At 47.8% G+C, this 22,259-nt stretch overlaps 1 protein-coding gene across 12 annotated transcripts in view, besides 4 other annotated features; it reads right to left on the bottom strand.

Annotated features, from left to right (window-relative positions):
- Nucleotides 1-22,259, bottom strand: part of MSI2 (musashi RNA binding protein 2) — a 445,731-nt gene that overhangs the window by 208,547 nt on the left and 214,925 nt on the right. For 2 of the 12 annotated variants that reach the window (XM_047435315.1, XM_047435316.1), the window contains exon 1: nt 5,746-5,873. The exons of the other annotated variants lie outside the window; for them this stretch is intronic. In XM_047435315.1, coding sequence (XP_047291271.1) covers nt 5,746-5,802 — 57 coding nt within the window. In that variant the 5' untranslated portion in view covers nt 5,803-5,873. Of the gene's footprint in view, nt 1-5,745; nt 5,874-22,259 lie in introns of those variants that run through there. 12 annotated transcript variants of the gene reach the window in all.
- Nucleotides 6,664-7,560: an enhancer, noted in NCBI's record as "H3K27ac hESC enhancer chr17:55562836-55563732 (GRCh37/hg19 assembly coordinates)". NCBI's record gives its function as "activates a minimal SCP1, AML or CMV promoter by ChIP-STARR-seq in naive H9 embryonic stem cells {active_cell/tissue: H9 hESC(naive)}" and the evidence as "EXISTENCE:reporter gene assay evidence [ECO:0000049][PMID:30033119]".
- Nucleotides 7,013-7,072: an enhancer, noted in NCBI's record as "active region_12440". NCBI's record gives its function as "activates an Ori minimal core promoter by ATAC-STARR-seq in GM12878 lymphoblastoid cells {active_cell/tissue: GM12878}" and the evidence as "EXISTENCE:reporter gene assay evidence [ECO:0000049][PMID:35858748]".
- Nucleotides 20,226-21,089: an enhancer, noted in NCBI's record as "NANOG-H3K27ac-H3K4me1 hESC enhancer chr17:55549307-55550170 (GRCh37/hg19 assembly coordinates)". NCBI's record gives its function as "activates a minimal SCP1, AML or CMV promoter by ChIP-STARR-seq in naive H9 embryonic stem cells {active_cell/tissue: H9 hESC(naive)}" and the evidence as "EXISTENCE:reporter gene assay evidence [ECO:0000049][PMID:30033119]".
- Nucleotides 21,090-21,953: an enhancer, noted in NCBI's record as "NANOG-H3K27ac-H3K4me1 hESC enhancer chr17:55548443-55549306 (GRCh37/hg19 assembly coordinates)". NCBI's record gives its function as "activates a minimal SCP1, AML or CMV promoter by ChIP-STARR-seq in naive H9 embryonic stem cells {active_cell/tissue: H9 hESC(naive)}" and the evidence as "EXISTENCE:reporter gene assay evidence [ECO:0000049][PMID:30033119]".

The following is a 22,259-nucleotide window of genomic DNA, read 5'->3' as shown; positions in this document are numbered from 1 at the left end:
AGTTTACAGTGGGCTTCATTTCCCTACCCCATCCTACGCTGGCTCACTCTGTTTTAACGAATTCTCATCTCCCCAGAGTGGAAAACTGATGGAAAATGGAGGAAGAACAAAGATATTCCACAAAAGACTGAGAACCCAGGCTGGACATGGTGGCTCACGCCTGTAATCCCAACACTTTGGGAGGCAAAGCCAGGTGGATCACCTGAGGTCAGGAGTTTGAGACCAGTCTAGCCAACATGGTAAAACACCGTCTCTACTAAAAATACAAAAATTAACTGGGTGTGGTGGTAGGTGCTTGTAATCCCAGTTTGGGAGGCTGAGGCAGGAGAATTGCTTGAACCCGGGAGGCAGAGGTTGAGATCGTGCCATTGCACTACAGCCTGGGCAACAAGAGCAAAACTCTGTCTCAAAAAAAAACAAAACAAAACTGAGAACCCAAATGGAGTTCCCTCACCCCTCCCCAGACTGGCACACAGCACATCAGACGCATGGGAAAGAGGCCCCATGTACTCAGCGGCTGCTGAAGCTTCTTCAATACCTATCAAAAACTATGTTTTTCCCTTGCCCATCCAGCATCAGCTGCCAAAGACTTAGATATCTATTTGAGAACCCTCAGTATTGATCTGGTCAAATGCTACAAGGTTTTTATCTCCTGATTTCTTGACCTTAAAGGGACCCGGAGGACATACCAATATAGTAATGCCACAGTGAAAATAATTGTGGAGAAGAAAGATACTGAGTAATTTATGCCGTCCTGATTTTTACTTGTCCATCACCTTCGGTACTCATATAGAATGTCTCACAAATCCTTCCCCCGTTTTTCATGGCGATTACTGAGCCCCTGACAACAGAACGATGCCTCGCTTTACTAGAGGAACACTGTCAAGAATTACAAATGAAAGACTTAGGCAATTCAGTACATTATAAATCAGACACTATCTTTTTCATCTTTGTTAATACGTGAACTCCAGGCAGCAAATCTGTTTTTTTCTTTTAAACAAAAAAAGAAAGATAGAAAAGCTTTAATCGCAACTGATTTAGGTGGTATCAGGAGCAAATTACAACACTAATACAGAACTCAGAGAAAGAAAATAAGTTTTAAAAGTACAAAATGACTTTCAGAGTAATGCTCATCTTCCTTCTGGCCAGACTTGTGGATTCATCATCCAGGGAGGAAAACTGAGGCAAAGCTGCCAGGCTAGAAAGGTTGAATGAACAGCAGGAAGGAGGAAAACTGTGGCTTCATATGCCTATCATTAGAGCAGTCGTGAAGGCTTTGAAAAAATCATCATCATCATTAGGCGTTGGCCATCCTCCTGCAGGAAGGCGCAATGATTCCTGAATTGGAAGTGAGCATTGGCAGCCATTGGTCTCTACCCCAACTCCCCACATTTTCTCTGATGGACTCAGGCCCAAGTCCACCCCCATCTGACCCCAGGCCCTCCCAAAGAGGTCCCCCAAAGGCCAAGACCCTCTGGCTGCAGGAGCTCTGCATCAGGAGATGTAACATGTCTATATTCCATTTATCCGAGGTCTCTATTATCAGCCACAAATGTTGAACCCCAGGCTGGCTGCCTCTGCCCCAAGTGTCCTCCTGGGCTGCTTTCCAGCACCTCAGCTAGTCTGAAAAGTACTCTGGCTGCCAGGGTCAATGTTCTGCTGAATTGCAGCTATGTAGGATCTGGGTATTCTAAGAGTTAACACCCTAGAATCTCAGAGTTCCTTCGCTCATTCACTCCATGACCTGTCTTCTCCAATGCCTCTGCCGGGCTTTGTGCCTGACTGCGCTCTCAGAGAGGCCTCTAGCCAGGTCTTGTAACAGAAAACAGAAATAGGAAGAAGCAGGTAACTCCCCTCTACAGGAGAATCCGAATAAACTGACCAATGCGAGCGCTTGGCAGAAACGCTCCTGAGGTCTCAAGGATAAGCCCTTTTATCCCAGCGCCAGGACACCTGCAAGCTGTGAGGCAATGGCCCACGAGGGGCAGTGTGACACCTCCCATCCGTCCTCCCCACCCCGGAACCCTGGCCAGGTGCTTGGCAGAAACCGCCAGCGTGCCCCTTGGCTCCAAGGAGTCTGAGCCATTCTAAGTGGCAGGTTCCAAGTACTAAGCTGCTGCCCCTGGCTAGAAAAGAAAAAAACAGAGGGGAAGAAAGAGAGGTAGAGGAAGTGAAGAATGCAAAATTTCCCCTAGAAGGCATGTCAGCTACTCAGAAAATCTGGAAGATTGGAGCTGGGAAATGAGGAGCAGGCCAAAATGTTTAACCAAAGTTCTTTTATGATGTGCCCCACAGAAAAAAACATCAGGGCATCTCACCAAGATCATGGTCGCTTCTCGGCCTGTGATATCTTGAAACATGAGCCATGGTATTTTATTCCAAATATTTCTCCTTTGGCAAGGATAATCCCTTTGCTTTAGGAGCCAGGACACACAAGTGAACCCAATACAACTTCTGTCCCAACCATGCTTTACATGACCTCTTATAAAGGCATGCACAAGCCCTTCCTGGACAACAGAGGGCTGTTTTCAAAGCAGAGGTCTACCTTCAGTGGGACTAATCATTTAAGTAGCCCCCAAACTCCGATTAGAGAATGTCTGCAGAACTCTTGCCAGAGGAGATCTGAGAAACTGAAATATGGTACCTGCCAAGAACAAGCCTTTTGGCACTGTAGCCACTTCAAGACACTTGGCAAATTTCATCAGGTGTCAGCAATAGATCTAAACATATTAGACTTAAGAGAACAAAGGAGAGATCTCTGTGGGGCCTAAAAGGAAGCCTGTTGCTAAATCAGCAAGAGAAAGAAGAACTAGCATCTACTGAGTGGCAGGCATCATACATCCACGATTTCACCTGCATCTCTAGTGCAACCCTTCCAGATAGGCTTGATGATCCCCATTTTATAGATGAGGAAATTCAGGATCAGGGAGACTAAAGAGCTTGCCCTGGGAGAGAGCCACAGTCCATGATCTTTGGTCTACTGCCTGTTACCATTAGGTATATTCTTGGTTTTCAGTCTCCTATGAGAATTTAAAGCAGACATAAGTTGTTCATAGAGCCCAACATCTGGACTTTCCAATCACCCTCTCGTCACCCTCCTGCTCACCCTAATTCCTCTTCCTTCAAATAATAAAAACATGAGTTTGCAGTGCCCACAGGAGCTACAACACCAAGAGATACTTGGACTTAGAGATAACCCACTTTGTTGCTTTTCTTCTTTCTCCCCAAGTCCTGTTTCTTAGCAAAGGTTGGGTCACCAGTGTCTCAGTCACCAGTGTCCGGCACTGTGCCCAGCACACAGTGGGCTAATATGGATGCTGCTACTGATAAATAATTGAGAAAGAGCTGCATGTGCCAGGGAGGAGTTAAGGTGGAGATGGTTCTGAGGACAGAAGAGGAGCCAGTGCTGGCTGAGTCCTCCCAGGCACGCAACCCACAGAGGTTCTGGGAAAGCTGCTGGGCTGTACCAGCTGGCCCCGCCGGCCTCTGTCCACTGAGGGACTGGCCGTGCCAGGAGCCTCCCTGGCCACTCTGGAATTCCAAAGCTCATGGTCAGAACCCCAGGGCCATTTGGCTGCTTCTTCCTTGCCTGCAGACCTGCTCTTCTCTTCAGTGTCTCCCTCCCTTCCTCTCTTGCCACAAGCAGCTGGGAGCACCTGCTCCTGGACCCCCAAAGTCTCCAGCCCTCACTCCCCTTCCATCCCTCCCCAGCTGCTACATGCCTCTTTAGGGGCATGTTCTCCCTTGAGAAGCTCCATCAGACCCCAATGCCAACACCACATCCCTGCATCTTTCATAAACTCATGGAAGTGGGAAGCAGGAGAGACTCTTGGAGATTTCATCCGACTCCCTTCTTTGGCAGATGAGGGCTGCCTGGGCCCCAGAAAGCACGTGGCTTGCGGAAGTCTACTCAGCCAGTTGGCAACAGAGCTGCGACCAGAACCCAAGGCTCTTCATGACCCTTAATGACTCTGATGACACATAAATTAGCATAAGGGGGCTGCATCTCTGGGCACGGACTGAGAGTGAAGGCCTCGGGACACTGCCTGGCTCCTGGCAGTGTGTTCCCTCTCCAACCGAGAGACACTCATGGGAAGGGCACTTTGGAGCTCTCTGCCAGCACATCTGATCTTCCCTCTTATCGTGTCTGCACACCGCCAGCTCTAATGTGCTGTCACTTTGCAGGATCTGAACACATTTTTTTTTTTTTTAGACGGAGTTTCACTCTTGTTGCCCAAGCTGGAGTGCAATGGCGCGATCTCGGCTCGCTGCAACCTCTGCCTCCTGGGTTCAAGCGATTCTCCTGCCTCAGCCTCCCAAGTAGCTGGGATTACAGGCACACACCACCATACCCAGATAATTTTTTGTATTTTTTGTAGAAATGGGGTTTCACCATATTAGCCAGGCTGGTCTCAAACTCCTGACGGCAGGTGATACGCCCACCTTGGCCTCCCAAAGTGCTGGGATTACAGGCGTGAGCCACTGCGCCCGGCCAGGATCTGAACACATTTTTAAGCAGCACTTCTGGCTCTGAAAAGTGAGAGGTACTCACCACTGGACCTCCAAAACTAAGGGGAAGAACAAGTCTAGTCCATAAACACTTGGCCCAAAAGGTAGGTGGGGTTAAATATGTCTATGTATTTAAATACATAATATAGTAGGAAAAAAAGACCTGCCCAAGGATAGGAAATTTCAACTATTGCTGATTATCTTTCATTATTCAAGCAAGCTTCCGCAGATGCTGCAAGGAGGCGGATGTTTAGGATGTATGGAAATATCATTTCCTCCTGGGACGAGGAGAAGGGAGCTGATGTTGTTATATACCAGTGAGCTTCCCCCTGGTTGTTTTCTCCAGTAATCTTAGTACCACCCTCTGGAGGAATGAGGCCAACTCTGGGACCAGCATGATCGTCGGGACAAATGAAGGTGGCTTGGCTGCTGCCCTGGGCTCCAAATGGGTCTTCCTCCTTCCAGCTCTCTCCTTCTAATCTCTCCCACACACATTTCCTGGGGTCCTATCATTGGCCTGGCACAGAGCTAGGCACTGGGAGGAACTCACCATCTAGTGACATGATGGACAGGCAGGCAAAAAGTAACCATAAAGCACCGGGCTGTGTGCACAGAGGGGGCACCAAGTACTATGAGAATAGAGGGAGGGAGACGCAACCCAATAGACCGGGTAGGGGAGGGAGGGAGCTGGCATGCGTGCAGATGTCTGTTGGCTGAGGGATGGCTATGGGAGTTCACAAAGGGAAAGTTCCAAGCAGAAGACACAGTCCCTTTAAAGAGACAAGAGAGAGGAAGTGCATCCAGTTTGGTGTGGTTAAAGCTGAGTGCGTGAGAAGGCAGAGGCATGGAGAGTGCACCTGCACCTGGGAGGACCTCATCAGCCTCACCAAGGAGCTCAGGCTTTCCTGGGGAGATGACAGGGCTGCTGCCAGGTATTGAGCAGGGGAAGAACATGGCCAGTGCAGCTTAAAACCATCCCTCTGGCAGCATGGAAAGGGTAGACCAGAGGAGGCCAAGGCTGAAGGTTAAGAGAAGAGTTTTGTCACTTGATGGATGAGTGATGAGGACACAGGGACCACATACAACTAGGGAGAGAGGCAAGCAGTTTTTTTGGGTGCAATAGAAAGACTGATAACTGGAGATGTGGGGACAGAAAAAAGAGAGGCACGGAGATGACAACTCCCAGGTACCACTAGGATGGAGCACACAGGGACAGAATCTGAACAGGCCACTCACCTGTGTGGAACACGTGACTGGCTCCCAACAGCGCAGGCAGAATTCCCAGCCTGGCATCAAAGCTGCTACTATCTTTGCGGTCTCATGAGCTGGCCCCACAGAGCACAGTACTGGTCTTCTCTCTCAGTGAGCCTCCTCCCTCACCCCGTGATCTGAAGTCCCCTGCACTTCCCACTTCTGTACTTCCCTTGCTCAGGGCCATATTGCCTGCCTCTGCCTGCTGAAATGTAACCTAGCCTGCAAGTGAAGCTCAGATGGCAGCTTTTCCCCTCCCTACTTGGCTGGGTTTTTTCTCTTTCTCTTTTACAATCCCAAAGCACTTTGCATGCACCCAGTACTTACTTGCCTTGTATTATGGTATCTGTCACTCTCTCACCCACTAGACTCTGTGATCCCTGCCAGTAAGGACATGGACAGCTTGGTTTATCTTTGCAGCCTTCGTGGAGCTTTGGACAAACGAAGTTCTCCGTGAGTCTGGCAATACACTAAAATAACCGAAACAACACTAAAAAGTCTAAGGAGTGCAGATAAAAGAGCTCTTTCAAACTGATTCTCCTTCCCACACTCAGGATGGACCGCCATTTGTATCCTCCCAGCTCGGAATTAACAAAGACTTCAGAATTTATTGTCTAAAAGGCAGTCTACCCAGAAGAAAAACAAGAAGCCTGACCACCAGTGAATAAGCTTTCCAAACACATACAAGGAAGATGAGTTTGACAAAGTGGGTAATATAAATCCCATATATTATTTGCATAAAACGAAAGGAAATCACTTTCAAGTTCTCTGCAAGAGAGAGGTTATATAAACACTATTTCTTTCATGATTCCAATGACCCAAACTATTTTCGGAGCCCCAGTTTGGCAGTAAGAAAGCCTTGTTTTTGCTGGGTTAGGTTTTTGTTTTGTTTTGCCCTTCCCTATAGAAAGGAGACTCAGCTCATTTGGATTAACTGAAGTGAAAAGAAAGCAATATCTCTGCTCTAATTCCACAAGGCTAGGAGAGAGCCCCTTGTAAATTCATTTCTGGTTCTCAGACAAACGCTTATGAACCTGTTGATTAGAGGGAGGGTATTGTCTGCATTTGCTAGGGGAAAAAATAACCCTGTGATGTTCCTCCTCCACCAACCAGGCAGCCAAAACACTGCTTCTACTCACGTGGGTGTTCAAAGTCAGAGAGCAATTTGCATGAGTGGAGAAAACTCATTTCAGAAGCTGTTATTCTGACACTGTATCCTTGGGAGGTGACTGAGGGAATGAGCCTGGTTGGCGAAACCGACCCCCTCCCTGCAGTACCCTAACGGCTTTCCCTGGAGAGGCAGAGAAGCTGGGTCTATTGCATTGGTGTGGTGTGGGCAGTCTTGGCCTGCAAGAGTGGAGTGGGCTCAGAACACAGGTGCAGATTTGTTCCTGAGGGCTTGCTTCACCTAGTGATGCCCTCCCCTCCACGGCCAGAGCAGGGGGTCACTGGCTCATCCTCAGCCTGAACTCCTGCTTCCTTCATCCCTTTGACACTCATAGTCTTTATGGCAACTTTTCTCAAAGCACATTCCAAGGAATACTAGTTCCATGGAACCACACTCCTGTGGTCAAATTAACCTCATCTGAGGAACTCAGCATGCAGATCAAGATTCAGGAAGCTCATCACTACATATCAAAGGCTCCGTGAAGGTCTGCAGGAAGGGAGCCCGTTGAACCCACATTTCCCCAACTGTTGAATCACGGGCCCTTTCTTTCCTGAGCAGCTCCATGTTTCGCAAGGAAGATGCATTAGGGAGATCAGTATTCCTTCCCTTCCATGCGTGGCTCCCATCTGCACAATCTTTTGTTTCTATCTGTGCAAATGAGTCTGTTTTTTTCCAGATACGCAGGCAAATGAGAAACATTAAACAACAGGCCAACATGGACCCAAGAAAGCTTCATACGTTAACCAGGCGATCTTTAGAAATAAAAGGATTTAAAACTCTCAATTGAGTAGACATGAAAGTAACCCAACAGAGAAAACTGAGGGCAGAGTCCCTGTTCCTCGCTGTGAAACTTGTGCTAAAAGCAACAGTGTGGCCTGTGGCTTCACACCTGGGCCACCTTTCCTAAGACTAGAATAGTCCAGGCCAACCTGTTTGAGGCTGGATGACAGGAAGGCTGTTCTTAAATGGGAAACAAAACCCACTCTGGGAACACCCATTTGAACTGGAAACACTCAGCTCTGCAGTGAGCCGGCACTAAGGGCTCTACACGAGGCACCCTGGGAAATTCAGAAACAGAAAAGATATGAATCTGCTCAGACAAAGACTCAGCCTCCAGTGGGCAGAGGGCCTTGCCTGTGCAGGAGTGACACAGATAAAACCCAGGGGAGTTTACAGAAAGGTGAGACCATGTTTCCCCGAGAGAGAAGCAGGGAAGGCCTCATGGAGCAGGTGGCAGTGGAATTGGGTCTTCGAGCACAGGTAAGAGTTCTGATGGGGTGGAAATGGTGGCATTGCTGACATGAGAGTGACAAAAACAACCATGGGTGGTCTGAGAGAGGACGGAAGCCAAGGCCATGAGTAGCCCAGCAGGGCTGGAGAAGCTGGAACTACCTAGGGAAAGGACACAGGGCATGCTCCACAGAGGGTCCAAGCACTCAGCAATGAAGACAACTGCTTTCTGAGAAGCCTCAGCTTTCTTCAGAGGCCACAGGGAAGAAGAGGAATGACATGAACACAGTTGTTTTTAAGGCACACTTCTCTAATCACAGTTTACTGGATAAACTGGGTAGAGAAGTGTACAAAGAAGGCTGTGGTAACTACTAAGCCAGTCTAATGAAAAACAGATTTAGAATCTGAAATAATCAGAAGAAAGGAAGCTGTTGAGGCTGACAGTACTGAGTTCCGAGGGGGAAGAAATATTTGAGGAATCTACAGAACATTCCAGGTGAAACGTCCAGGAAATCACTGGCCTTCCAAGCTTGGCATTTCCCCCGAAGGAGCCAAGGGTGGAGGTACAGACATGGACCCACTCACCTAAAGGTGATGCTAGGGGTAGAGGTGGAGGGAGAAGATGCAGGGAATGAAGTCCTACGGGCATCTGCCTGAGGAGCAGGGAAAGAGAAGCGACTGCTAACGGAGGCCAAGAACAGTCACAGGGAGGAAGGTGAGCCAGAGAGAATGGCCTCTCAGCCAACAGCCTGAGGTGGGGTTAAACAAGGGCTCTGCAGCCAAACTACCTGGGTTCAAATTCCATCCCTGCCACCCAGTATGAGAGACCTTGGGAAAGTGCCTCCGTTTCTCCATTTGTAAAACCAGCTCTCGGTTCCAAACCCACCCTTTTATACTTATTCTCCACTAGACCTGGGACCCTACAAACCACTTACATTTTTGATTTGCCCCTAGCTCCCTGGTAGGCTCTGCCAACAGCGTGTGCTAGAGGGAGACCCTAAGGCTGGAGGAGGAAGAGGGTCTTGCTCCCTCCCATCTGCTGCCTGGGGGCTTCCTATTGGCTTGTGGTTCCTGTGAGCATCACCCCAGCAATGCTTCTTCATCCTGGCAGTAAAGGTGCCTTCCTGTACCAGCAGCTGAATCCAGCGTGTAGTTTCTCCCAACACTTGCAGAACCAGCAACACAGCATCCACCCCCTCAGAGACATGAGCACCAGTGGCCCAGATCCCTCCTCAGAGGCCTTGGGTTCCTCCTCCAAACATCTAAGTTTTAGTCTTTCCCTCATCAGCCCTAGGTAGGGTAAGGGTGGTGGCTTCCTGCAGTTGCTACCTCCGCAGTACCTGGCAGCAGTGGTTCTCAAAGCGTGGCCCCGCAAAACAGCCACATCAGCATCACTCGAAAACGTATTAGAAATGTGAATTTGGGGGGCGCCAGTCATTTGTGTTTGAATAAGCCCCAGAGGTGATTCGGATGCACCCTAATATTGAAGAACCAATTCCTTAGTTTTCTTTTTACTCTTTCAGTTAGTTAATTTTACATCCCCATGAACACTTCCTTAGCTTAACTCTCTGTGTACAAACAACTAGCATGTTTTCTTTTTTTTTTTTTAAGGCAAGTTTATTAAAAAAGTAAAGGAATAAAGAATGGCTACTCTATAAGCAGAACAGCTCAACTAGCATGGTTTCTATCCCCTAACTAGACTCCAACCAATGCAAGAGGGATAATAGCATCTACCTCCTAATACAACACTAATACTTATTATCATTAGTATATTAGGCTACAGAAGCCAAAAGCAGAAATTAAGAAATGTTATGGTCAGTAGAATCAAATATACAAGGATATTGGATTAGGTTATTGTTGTTGGTCTTTCAGAGCAAAGTTTTAAAATCTGATTTGAGAAAAACCTCCCAGCATGCACACACAGCCGGACTCTCAGAAAATGTTTCCTTTTTAGTCAATTCCTACATGGATGCCATGCAAAACCACTCCATCTATCAAGCTGTCAGAATGAACTGCTAAATTCTTAATAGTCTCACTCACACAAAATGTCCCCACAGTCCAGTGCATCTGGAGGGTCTGGCCTTGACTTGCTAAATGCAGGCACATTCAGATAGCCTTCAGAGGTCCCCATAACAGCACTGCTGTCTACAAACAGGGAATCTATACATGTGAGAGGCACAGAGTCTCGGGAGGTTAAAGAAGGAAGGGACCACCCCAAACTTCTCATGCTTCAGATGAAGATGCTGAGACCCTAGAGATAAAGGAACTTGTCCAAGGTCACACTGTCACCAAAGTCACGGCCAACAACAGCATCAAGCTTCCTAACTCCTCTGGCACCCAAACTCCCTTCCACGCCATGTACACGAATGACAGACTTGGCCATGGCAATATATTTCGTAAGTACAATAATTTAACAAGCAGCAAGAAATCAAATTGTACACGGGTAGAGAAGGACTACAAAAGTAAGTCTGGGAAGAGCTTAGGAAGGAGCATGGCTGTCGGCAGGCAGTTTTCTTTGCCCATCAAAATAATAAATGAAGTCAGGCATTTACTGTAGCGTGAACGCCAAAGCAACTGTGAGCCGATGGTGTTTCCAACAATCTCGGGAGACAGGCAAGACACTCCAAGACAATGCATTCTTAATGCCTTCTTAAACAGATTCTGACTCAAACCCTGAGATGGCTGGGTCTCTTCCAAGAAATGTTAGCCACTGTGAGATATCTCTTTCAGTTCTCTCCAGCAGATCTCCTTGGAATTTGCCAGATAAACAGGCAATTTATCATGTGGCCGAAGGTTGTACGTAATGCATTATCTGCCTTCCACCAGGATTTGTGCATCTGTGTAAGGCCCCTGGTTGGGCCGGTGGACTGACTCGCCTCCATCTTGAGGTGCCATAGCAACATGAAATCAACAAAGAGTGAACTGTTAAATGAATAATTTACTGATTTCATAAGAAGCTGTCTTGCAATTTATAGTTCTATTATCTTTCCTACCCGTGTCTTAACTCCTTTGTATAAAAGCTGCAATCAAGCTGAATAACATTTGAGAATCTAATAAGCATATACCACCCTGTACTCAAGCCGATAGCTATGGATTGATTTTGACAGCAGTTATGTTCCTTTGAGGCCGAGTCTTACCACTGTTGCCTTTTCCTTGCCCCTTCTGCAAAGGGGTAAAAGTTAGGGAGCAAATGACCTCCAATAAGCTTTACATTTTCAAATGAAACATTTTTCTTCTTTGGGATATTTGGAGCCAATCAAGGCAGAGTTGAGTGGCATTCAGAAGTATTATGTGGAAGAAATATCATCGACTACAATCTACCAATTGTCACTTTAAAAATTCCCAAAGAGACCTAGTTACTAGCAAAGGAGAAGGGGGAAAAAAAGCAAAGTATAGTTTCAGTGACAATTGTGGTATTTTAAAGGCTCTTTCAATATCATCAGTGATACCATTTTAGTGGCAGAAGCATATCTTGTCACTCAGCCTCAATTTAAAGGATATTTATGGAGAAGACAATACAATGAAAGCAGACTTATTTGCTGACTTATTTATTTGGGTGGAATAGGTTACAGATTATTTTGGTTCCATGCTTTTCAGCAGAATGGATATATCCTTTTGAAAGACATTACTTGCCGGCTGCTACTCTTCAGTCTCTTCAAGGAAATCAAGCTAAGAAGCAGCAACTACTAACAACAGGGAAATGCAGGCTTTAATACCTTGTCACTGAAAACCCAGATTTCCTTGCACCCACAATGGTTAACAGCCTGGGGAGATTACTAAAGGCATTTGTAATTACCATGAACCCAGAGGAAATGGGTCTTTCTCCAGTGCCTTGTGTATACCATCCTGTACTATGAGTCACTGAAATCCTATGAGTCTCCCTTATCAATGCCATCTCCAGTCTTCACATCCTAATGGTCACTGGCAATACAAACCCACTCCTTTCACTGCATGCCACTAAGGAAGAAGTTCTCTGACTGTATTCCTCATATTTAGGGCCAAGGCTAAAGTCACCTTCTTGTCAATGCTCACCTAATATCAAGGAACCATGGTTCTGTGACTGGGGTGTGGGCTGGCATGAAAACTAACTCATGCCAAGTTACCTAGGCAAACATCATGGCTTCAACGCTAGGACAGCTTGGCCCAAAAGGTAGAAGGTGGCAATTCTGAGAACACAGGATTTTTGAGCTAAATCTCTTTCCCTCGTCTATTTATAGTGCCTCGTCTCTGCGGCTGAGGTCTGAAACCCAGCCAAGCTCAGGCAGAGGTAGGCCTGTTAAGTCCTGCTCACATGATCCAATCTTGAAATTCTGAATATATTACTGAAGGGCTTAGGGTAAGGCAGATACTCTGATGAAGGTGACAAGAAATCTCTTCTGCAGCTTCAAAACTCTCCTGCTGCTGGTTGGAGCCTGAACTTCAGTTAATGTCAACATGAGTCCTGTTTATTGGCCTAAGAAATATTAAGAAAGTTATAGCTTTTGGGGGGTTTTATTTTGGGTTTGTTTTTAATGGTTACATTGATATCTAACATGCCAACATTAATTCTTCATATTTTAACTTTGCTAGGCTGATATTTGAAACAGCTTTTTCTCCTGACAAAAGAGCCTTCGTGGCTGGGCGTGGTGGCTCACATGTGTAACCCCAGCACTTTGGGAGGCTGAGGCAGGTGGATAACTTGGGGTCAGGAATTCGATAGCAGCCCGGCCAACATGGTGAAACCCCATCTCTACAAAAATTAAACGAGCATGGTGGTGGGCACCTGCAATCCTAGCTACTCAGGAGGCTGAGGCAGAAGAATCGTTTGAACCTGGGGAGGCAGAGTGAGCTGAGACTGCGCCACTGCACTCCAGCTTGGGTGACAGAGCAAGACTCCGACTCAAAAAAAATAAATGGACCTTCATGAGTTGGTAATGTGAAGTAGAAAGATAACACATTTCAGTTGTTCTGACCTGGGTTTGAATGCTGGCAGAACGTTGGATATATTACTCAATCTCCACAAGCTGCAGTCTCCCAATGTGTAAAAATTAAATTCCCACTTCTCATACCTATCAATGAGGATCAAATGGATCATGTGGGAAGGTGCCTGTCTAGCCCACAGTAGGTCTCAGGGATGGCAGCTCAGATGTGGCCATGAGAACCTTGCTGTCCAGGTGACAGCCCACCATGAAGAACAAACAAAAATACAAAGTTCAGTGGCTCCAATTAGTGCAGATGTGTCTGAGTCTTTCACCGCTGCTTTGCTTTACTTGAGAACCAGAATTTCTAATCCTGATTCTTTTGATGTGTCCTTCCTGCTCTTCATTGAAAGAAATGTTGAATTTCCCATAATTAAATATAATTATCATTTACGATTAAACCTTAAATATAAAAATGGAGTATCTGGGATGTTTTACCCACAGCAGGGTTGGGAAAACAACCCATTCTGAGAAAGAAGCAATCAGGAACACTGAGTCCAGAGAAGACAGTTAAGACCCAAAGGCCAGGTTTATTGTCCAGGAATATGATGACATAAGAAGGAACCTATGCTCCAGGTCAAACTAACCTTTCCCATCTCCAAATCCTGCATGCCCCAGTACGCAAGGCAAAAGGGGCTGCCTCTCCCTCAACCCCAACACTCAAAGCCCCATTCCCAAAAAATGGCTTGAAACTGTGGGGCTGGTCTCAGAGTGTCCTTCATCCTGATTGCTGTCAGTCCTCCCAATCCCCCAGCAGCCCAAGGGTCTCCATCATTTTGTAGGGCTCTATTGGCTGGAAGGTGCCACTCTGCCAAAGCACTCCCACCCCTTCCCTCTAGTCCTGTTCCTTATCTGTTATCCCCCTGGGGCACACACAGTCTTCTACTTGTTTGGCTGGCAGCCCTTTGCCAGAATTAAGCTCCATGAAGGCTGGAGTTCTGTTTTCCACCCCAGTGCATAGGAAGGCATTAGCACACAGCACACACTCACTGACTATTTAAATGAATGAACGAATGAACAAATGCAGCAGCAAAGAGACAAAGTAGCGACTCTCTCACAGGTTAAACAGTTAAGTCTTGCTTGTTTCCTAGAGAAAAGAAATCAGTATTTCAGCAATGGTGGGGGAACAAAAGCAATGAATGAATGGCTTGGCCTCTTGCCCATGGCCAAAACCAAGGCTGCTTTGCACTAAAATCTAGAACAGGATCCCTGAATTCCTTCCGACTCTGAGAACCACTGTGTGATTCTCCCAGGGCAGTCTGAGACCTCACGGTGGCCTTCGTCATATCTCTGGCTCAACATGAGAATTCAGAAACCCAATGACATCAGTGCTGGCCTTGGATGTAACATGGAGACGTCAGTGGTAATCTGTCTATGTCACTTGGTTTTGTCGGGGAGATAGTAGTACAATGCGTGCTTCAGGGGCCTGTGGACTTTCCTTTCTTGAGAAAAGAAACTAAGATATCTGGCAGTGCATCCTAAAGGCTTCAAGTTCTGTAATTTGAAACAAAACACAAGCATTAAGTAACAAATAAAGGCTTCTCTAGTGCTTTTGTGCTGGAAAAGTAGCTTTAAAGATGTACATCAGAGCCAGCAGGGCACCCAGGATTCTTGAATCTGGGGCCCACTAGGTGCCATCGATTCTGCCTTGCAGATTCTGCCAAATGGCTTCTTCTCATCAGCAGAGGTCAAACTCCCCCAGAGCTAAAGAGGGGGCCTCTGGATGAACTGTCTATTGGCTTTTGGCCTGCAGCCAGTGGGCCCGCCATCAATGTGCCCAGTGTGGCATACCGTCTGCTAAGAGACTACAGAGCACGTGAGGAGATGACCCGAGAGCTTCTCTGGGTGGGCGAGTCTTCTCAGGAGCAGGCCGGGCAGAGGCTCTGTGCTCTCTACATGCTTAATTTACCCTCTGAGCTGCAGCCAGCATCCTAGCAGTGGGGAGAAGAGAGAATAGCTGTGGCTCTCTCTCCACTCCTGGAGGTGCAGAAGGGGCTGGTTACATGGATTAAACCAAGGCTGCGATAGTCTCTTGCTTCAAATGCCTTCCACTCATGACTGCCACTTGTTCCTGACCTTTCTGCCAGGAAATCACCCAGGAGGGACAGGGATGTCAAGTCCCCAACATCTAAGAAGAGAAAGCTTTCTCTCAGAGCCCTCAAAGCTTCAGAAGCTGTTCCTTTTGCCAACCTCTCCACCCCCAGCACCTAGCACACTGCCTTCTCTTGGGGCCCTCCCTGGCTTAGTCTAGTCCCCTTGGGTGCATTTTGCATCAATGCATAAGCAAAAGCTACTTTCAGAGCACTCAGTAGGCTTTGTACAAATGTGTACAGTCTTTGCAGGGCTAGGGGGTGAGGGCCCATTCTCATTTTCCCCTGCAGACATCGACATCACTTTGCTTGCGGGAGGTGGGGAAGGAGGAGAATTCTAGGACATGGGTTTCGGTTAACTACTACTCTGTTGTTTGATCAAGACCATTTCAGGAGCAGCGCAGGGCGTCAAAAGGAAACCCATTTGTGATCAGCAGTGTCAAGGGTTTCGAGCAGCCAGGCTCATTGGCAGTCGGCTTTTGGTGAAACTGCCAGATGCTGAATCCATTAACAGGCAATTGTGTCACGAGAAAGCCCAGCTTGTCAAGAGATTCCTTCGGTGGGGCCCACCTGCTGTGTTTACCTCTCCAGAGTACAGATAAACAGCTCCTGCTTCCTCACCCTCCGACACACACACACACACACACACACACACACACACACACACACACACACACACACACCAGGCCTTATGGACCAACAGAAGTGAATGGTCTAGAATTCATCTTTTGACCCTACCCTGCCTTTCCACAGTTAAGGCCAGGCTCAATTTGGTAGAATTTTTCTGTCCCCACTATGAGAAAGTCCCTGTCTCAAAGACTTGCTAAGCATGAGACAGCTGGCCAGACGGGGGTGAGGCCTTGGAAAAAGAAGAATCTTGTTTTACAAGCTTTAAATGGGGAAGAGAGTGAGAACAGACAGGTCTAGATGGGTTGGGGCATGGGGACTGGGAGGAGAACCAGGTATTTCCTTACTTGGCTCTGGAAAACCCATGACATTCCCATGTGATCCTCAACAAATGACGGAGCCTCTGTGAATCTCAATGTTCTCACCTGTCAAATGAAAACACTATCATCTTCTAAGAGCTGTTTTAAGGGTTAAATGAGGTAATATATCCAAAGTGTTTAGTTTGGTGCCCAACCCTCAGCCACGCTGAGGTCCTAAGGGACAGCAAAGCTCTAAGATGGAAGGAACCTGGATCCCTGAATCAACCGGTATCCTTGAATCACTGCACAGAAGAAAAGGCAACCAGAAACCTCTGTACTGAACTGTTAAGTGGGCAAGAAACAGACTTCTATTGTGTTAAGCACTGAAATTTTGGAGTTCAGTTATACCAGCAGCTAGCACTACCCAACTAATACAGGTAGCAAGAAGGACAGCTTCTTGTTTGGGATTGCACCCCAGTAGGCCACTCTAGACGAAACAGTTGTCTAGTTGAAGGCTCCCACCTATGTGAGGGACCCATTCTGCTCACCCCCAACCTCCATCCAGGCTCAGGGGAAGGTGCCAGGAGGTTCCTAATGCGTTGCAATGCAGTGTGGATGCAGAGGAGGGGAGGGAAGCCTCATCTTCCCTTGACTTCTGCTCAGAGACCCCCAGGAAATATACAAGGCTATTAACCAGAGGGAGCTGCTGATGTAAATCAGCTTGGATAGCCCTATATGTTGTGAGTGGCAGGCACTAACCGTTTGCATGACAAACCTCCTACAAGATGCCGGCTAAACTGCCCTTTTGTGCCAATTAAAAATTCTCCAGAATACAAAGATTACACACCATTCTGCAGCGCTGACAACAATAAAACAATTTTAAAGGCTATTCAGATCTTCAGTTCACAGCTGACATTGTCGGGAGGGAGAGATTGTCTGTGGCTTTGTTCTTTGTTGTTGTTGTTGAGTCTAAAGACTTAACCAAGGATTTCTGGGGGAGGACGAGAGATTGGCAGACAGGAGTTTGAAATGCATTCTTGGAGTTTTTAAAGGAGAAAAGGAACAACTGATGTTCTTTTCGTGTGTGTGTGTGTGTGTACACAAGCATGCATCCACACATACACACACAGACAACACTCTTTTCTCACTAGCTCCTATCTGGGGCTCCTCAGAAAGGACTCCCAAGGAATCCTAGTCTCTCTAGGGTTCTGACACCCTGAGACATGGGGTTACGGGTGGCACTAGCAGACATTTTTGGTACCAATTAATTGAAACTAGAAGAGCAAAGGCCTGGAAGCCTTTCCTCATATGTTTGTTTTAAAGGTAAATTTTCAAAAACAGTAAGAGATTTGAAAAAAAATGTCTTCAGGTTTTCAGAAATGAGAAATGCATGCAGACCCTCAGATAAAGCAAGAGGGAGGTTTATTTTAGATGACAGGACAGTACACTACCTATCAGGTCCTGATGAGGAATGACCAGAAGCCCCAAAGATGCCACTTGGGCTTTATTCTCTCCTCTCTTGTGTGCACGCATGTGTCCTTGGGGCACACCTGGACACTCACCCACGTTCCCACCATCTGTCCATCCAAAAACCAAAAGTGAGCATCTGTTACTCAGCAAGACTGTGAGTGTCCCACTCAACTGGGACCTCTGTGAGAACAGGGAGCCCTCCCTAGGCGTTTTGGTAAATCCTTCAGCTCCTGGGCACAGCAATAAACTCCTGCCTGGGTTTCACTTAGTGCCCACACCTTACAGTGCCTTGCATACCACAGATGCTCAATACACAGTTACTGCATATCTGTTGAATATGTGTTGGCAACACTGGATCAAGCACCTCAGATGTCCACTGATCACCTTAGTATTCAAAAGTACAGAGAGGCTGGGTGCGTGCGGTGGCTCATCCCTGTAATCCCAGCACTTTGGGATGCCGAGGCAGGCAGATCACTTGAGGTCAGGCATTTGGAGATGAGCCTGACCAACATGGTAAAACCCCATCTCTACTAAAAATACAAGAAAATTAGCCAGGGGTGGTGGTGCACGCCTGTAATCCCAGCTACTCAGGATGCTGAGGCAGAAGAATCACTTGAACTTAGGAGGTGGAGGTTGCAATGAGCTGAGATTGTGCCACTGCACTTCAGCCTGGAAGACAGAGCAAGACTGTCTCCAAACAAAAACAAAAACAAAAACAAAAACAAAAAAACAACAAAAAAACAGTACACAAAGTCATATTCCCACAAAGAGTAACAGCATGGGGCAGGCACTGGGCAGAAGAAAGGACTTAGGTTTCAGGTAGTGATTCTCAACCAGGGGCAATTTTGCTTTCCAGGGGACCTTGGCAATGTCTGAAGACATTTTTGATTGTCATGACTGGGGGTGGGGGATGCTATTGGCAGGTAGTGAGTAAAGGCCAGAGATGCTGCGCAACTTCCTACAATGCACAGGACAGTGCCCACGACAAAGAATCATCTGGCCCCCAACGTCAGTAGTGCTGAGGTGGAGGAGCCCTGGCTTGGAGCCTGGTCTGCATGAGTTGAACAGCTCTGCCACTTACAAGCTCTGTCATTTTGTGGGGGATGTTCGACTTCACCGGGACTCAGCTTCCAGATGGGTACAATGAAAATTATTATAACTACCTTGCAGAAGGATTAAATGAGATGCTGAATAAATGAGCACGTCTAGACCCAACTGCTATGAATACCAGTGCACATCTAGAGGCCCCAGGAAACAGTACCGGTGGCCCATTTTTAAGAGGAGAGAGGGAGGAAAAAGCCCTGGGTGCTGCAGATCAGCAAATACCCCCAACTTCGCGTGAGAGTTCCTATATCCCCTCATCTGCCTCCGTCCTGAACTCTGTCCCCTGAAGCAAATTCATTCAAGAAACATCTTCCCCATAAAGAAGAGGAGGGAGAAGGAAAAACAAAACCGAAAAAAACAGCAAAATCATAATAAGTCTGGGTCAGCTCCCATCAGCTGGTTGTGATCAAAACCACATTCATATTCAGTCTGCTGGGGCTAAGCGGAAGGCTGCAGACCATCTCAGGAATGTGAGTTCCCAGCCACTGGCCACCTTCCCCTGCAAACTTTACAAAGAGCTGCTTGCAGAGGGTCAGGGAGCAGGCACTCTCCCCTCACCATCCCTCGGCACCTGTCCAGACAAGGTGGGTAGTAGCTGGATTCCAGGGGCAACCAAACATCCTCTGTTCTCGAAGAGCCCCATCCTCCTGCACTTCAGTGGTGAGAGGAAGGTTCCGGAAGAGAGGCCAGTGCATAGCTTCTGCCCATACCCTCCCCACAGAAACAATTAAGTAGCTCAGGCTGTGGCTGCCAAGTTTCTCTGTCCAATTTGGTAGATATTTTAATAGAGGAGGAGAATTCCCAGAGGCCCCCCGACGGAAATGCCCCATGTCAGGGAATGTTTGTTTTCATTTCTTTTTGCCGTCAATGAATTCTACTCATGGCAAAGGCTCTGGGCTGGATCAGATCCACACAGAAGCTAACTAGAAGCATTTGTGCCTTGAAATAAATCTCTCTTTGGGGAATGAGTTATATATACATCCGTGTGGGGGGACCTATGCACACATACTCACACACGCATATATATTATGCATTACAGACAAAATACATGGGCAAATCCCCAAGCAGGCAGCCCCGAGCTTCTGGGAGGGAAGGTGATCCGCCTGTTAGCTTCAAAGGACATTTAAAGAAAAGTGGAAGGCCAGGCGCGGTGGCTCACGCCAGCAATCCCACTTTGGGAGGCTGAGGCGGGCAGATCACCTGAGGTCAGAAGTTCAAGACCAGCCTGGCCAACATGGTGAAACCCCGTCTCTACTAAAAGTACAAAAATTAGCTAGACATGGTGTCAGGCGCCTGTAATCCCAGCTACTCAGGAGGCTGAGGCAGGGGAATCACTTGAACCCGGGAGGCAGAGGTTGCAGTGAGCCGAGATGACACCATTGCACTCCAGCCTGGGCGACAAGAGCAAGGCTCCATCCAAAAAAAAAAAAAGAAAGAAAAGAAAAGTGGCTTGTTGGGAAAACTCAATGATGGATAGTGTGCCCTGTGAGTAGGGAAAAGGTTCAGGAAAGCAGAACTTGCTGCAGGGTAGAAGGTAGCTCCGTGTGACGGGACAAATAACAACAGCCACCACCACATAGTGTTTACGACGTACCAGGATCCACGCTGAGTGTTTCACACAGCGCACAGCAACGCAATAACAACAGCTATTATTATTACCACTAGTATCATCCCCATATTACAGATGAGCAAAATAAAGCTCAGAAACATTAAGGGGCTTGCTCAAGGTCATGAGGCCAGTTGGCAGCAGAGCTAGGATTCGAGCCCAGATGGGGTTGGCCCCAAAGGAAGTCCCCAGTCTCTAGGACACTGGCCCCCTCCCTTCCCATCACCTTCAATTAGGGGTCAGAAGGCATTGCCCCTCCCCCTGCCTACTATGGCTAGGTTTTTTGTCTTCTGGGACCCCCCAGTCACTACTCCTTCACTAAGGGGATCTGATCTGCAGGGCTCCTCCCCAGAAGAGCCCTTAGGGAAAGCAGGCAGGGCCACAGCCCCTGAGCTCGCCCTGCCCCCTGCCACAAGGAGGCCGGTCCCTGGACTGAGCATAGGTGTGCCTGCCAGGCAGTCCATGAACCAGCTCTCACTCTGAGTGTTCGTGAGTTGACTTTAGAAGCCTTCTTTTGTGAGATGATAATCCCCTCCTAATTTGTCTTTCATAGGCATCCATTATTTCGGCTCTCAACCTTGCTTAAAGCAAGGCCCACTCACAGGCAGGAACCGGCAGCAACTCCAACACCCTGCTGAGCCTCTCACCCTCGCCCCCTGTGTCAGCAAGGGCACGCCCACCCACAGCAAGAGAGAAGCTGCATCTCAGCTCTGCCGTCCTCAGCCCCTCTGCTCCTCAAAATCTAGAGGACAAGCTCCTCAGGCAGGAAGCCTCTGAGTGAGAAAGGAGCCAGGCATTTTGTAGCTGAAGACATTTCCCCTCTCTTCCCCTCCCCTCCCCTCTCCTCTCCTCTCCTCCAGATGCTGATGGCTTTCCAGAAAGCTGATGCTCTGGGGCAGAAGTGGACCTTGAAGCCTACTGCAGAGTCAAGGGCTGAGAGGGTACTTGTCTGGAGGAGGAAAACAAAAATGCTCAACAGCAGGGCCCCAGGCTGGGGGCAGCACGCAGGCGGGGTGGGGGCTTACAGCTGCATGGTCTCCTGCAGCTGCACGCCTTCAGCTACTCTCTGGCTCGACTTCTTCATCTGGAGAAAACACGAAGAGTAATACCAGCCTACCTCATGGGATTAGGGAGCAGCTCAAATGTACTCTTTAAGGCATTTATGATCAACAGGTCACCTGTGAGTACGATGCTTGTACACAGAAAGTGCTCCATAAAGTTCAAGACCAGCCTGGCCAGCCCCATCTCTACTAAAAATACAAAAATTAGCCGGGCATGGTGGCAGCCGCCTGTAATCCCAGCTACTCAGGCGGCTGAGGCAGGAGAATGGCTTGAACCCAGGAGGCGGAGGTTGCAGTGAGCCGAGATTGTACCACTGCACTCCAGCCTGGGCGACAGACCAAGACTCCATCTGAAAAAAAAAAAAAAAAAAAAAAAAAAAAAAAGTGCTCCATAAATGCCGCAGGTTGATGGCTGAGTCTGTTAGCAGAGCCAGCTTGATTCGAGAAACCTTGGATGGAGCTAAAGGTCAATACAGAAGGCACAAACTCAAGTGCCTCAGAGGCCAGGCAGGGGGCATAAACAAAAGAGTAGGGGGTAGGGTGTGAGGTGGGCAGCCACCACCCCCAGGGTTACATGCCACATGGGGTCCCCAACCTCTGCTCTAAGCAAGGTCTTCAGATGGGCCAGAAGCAACCTTGGGCAGAGCCAAGAGAGCAGAAGCATCATAAAGAGAATGCCAACAGCCATCCCTCCTGGGGTGGCCACTCCAGAGCAGGAACTGCTCGCTTTACTAGCAAGTCACTTAACCTCCATAAGGGCCCTACTGTTGTTAACCTCATTTTGCAGATAAGGGAACTGAGGCACAGAGAGTTTAAGCGACTTGCCCAAGTGACAGTGGTGGGGCCAGGATTTGAACCCAGGCAGTCTGGCTTCAGGGTCCGCCTT

Source organism: Homo sapiens, chromosome 17 (genome assembly GCF_000001405.40).
Source record: "Homo sapiens chromosome 17, GRCh38.p14 Primary Assembly".
NCBI classification, from domain to species: Eukaryota; Metazoa; Chordata; class Mammalia; order Primates; family Hominidae; genus Homo; species Homo sapiens.
This window is presented reverse-complemented; position numbering and strand designations above follow the sequence as displayed.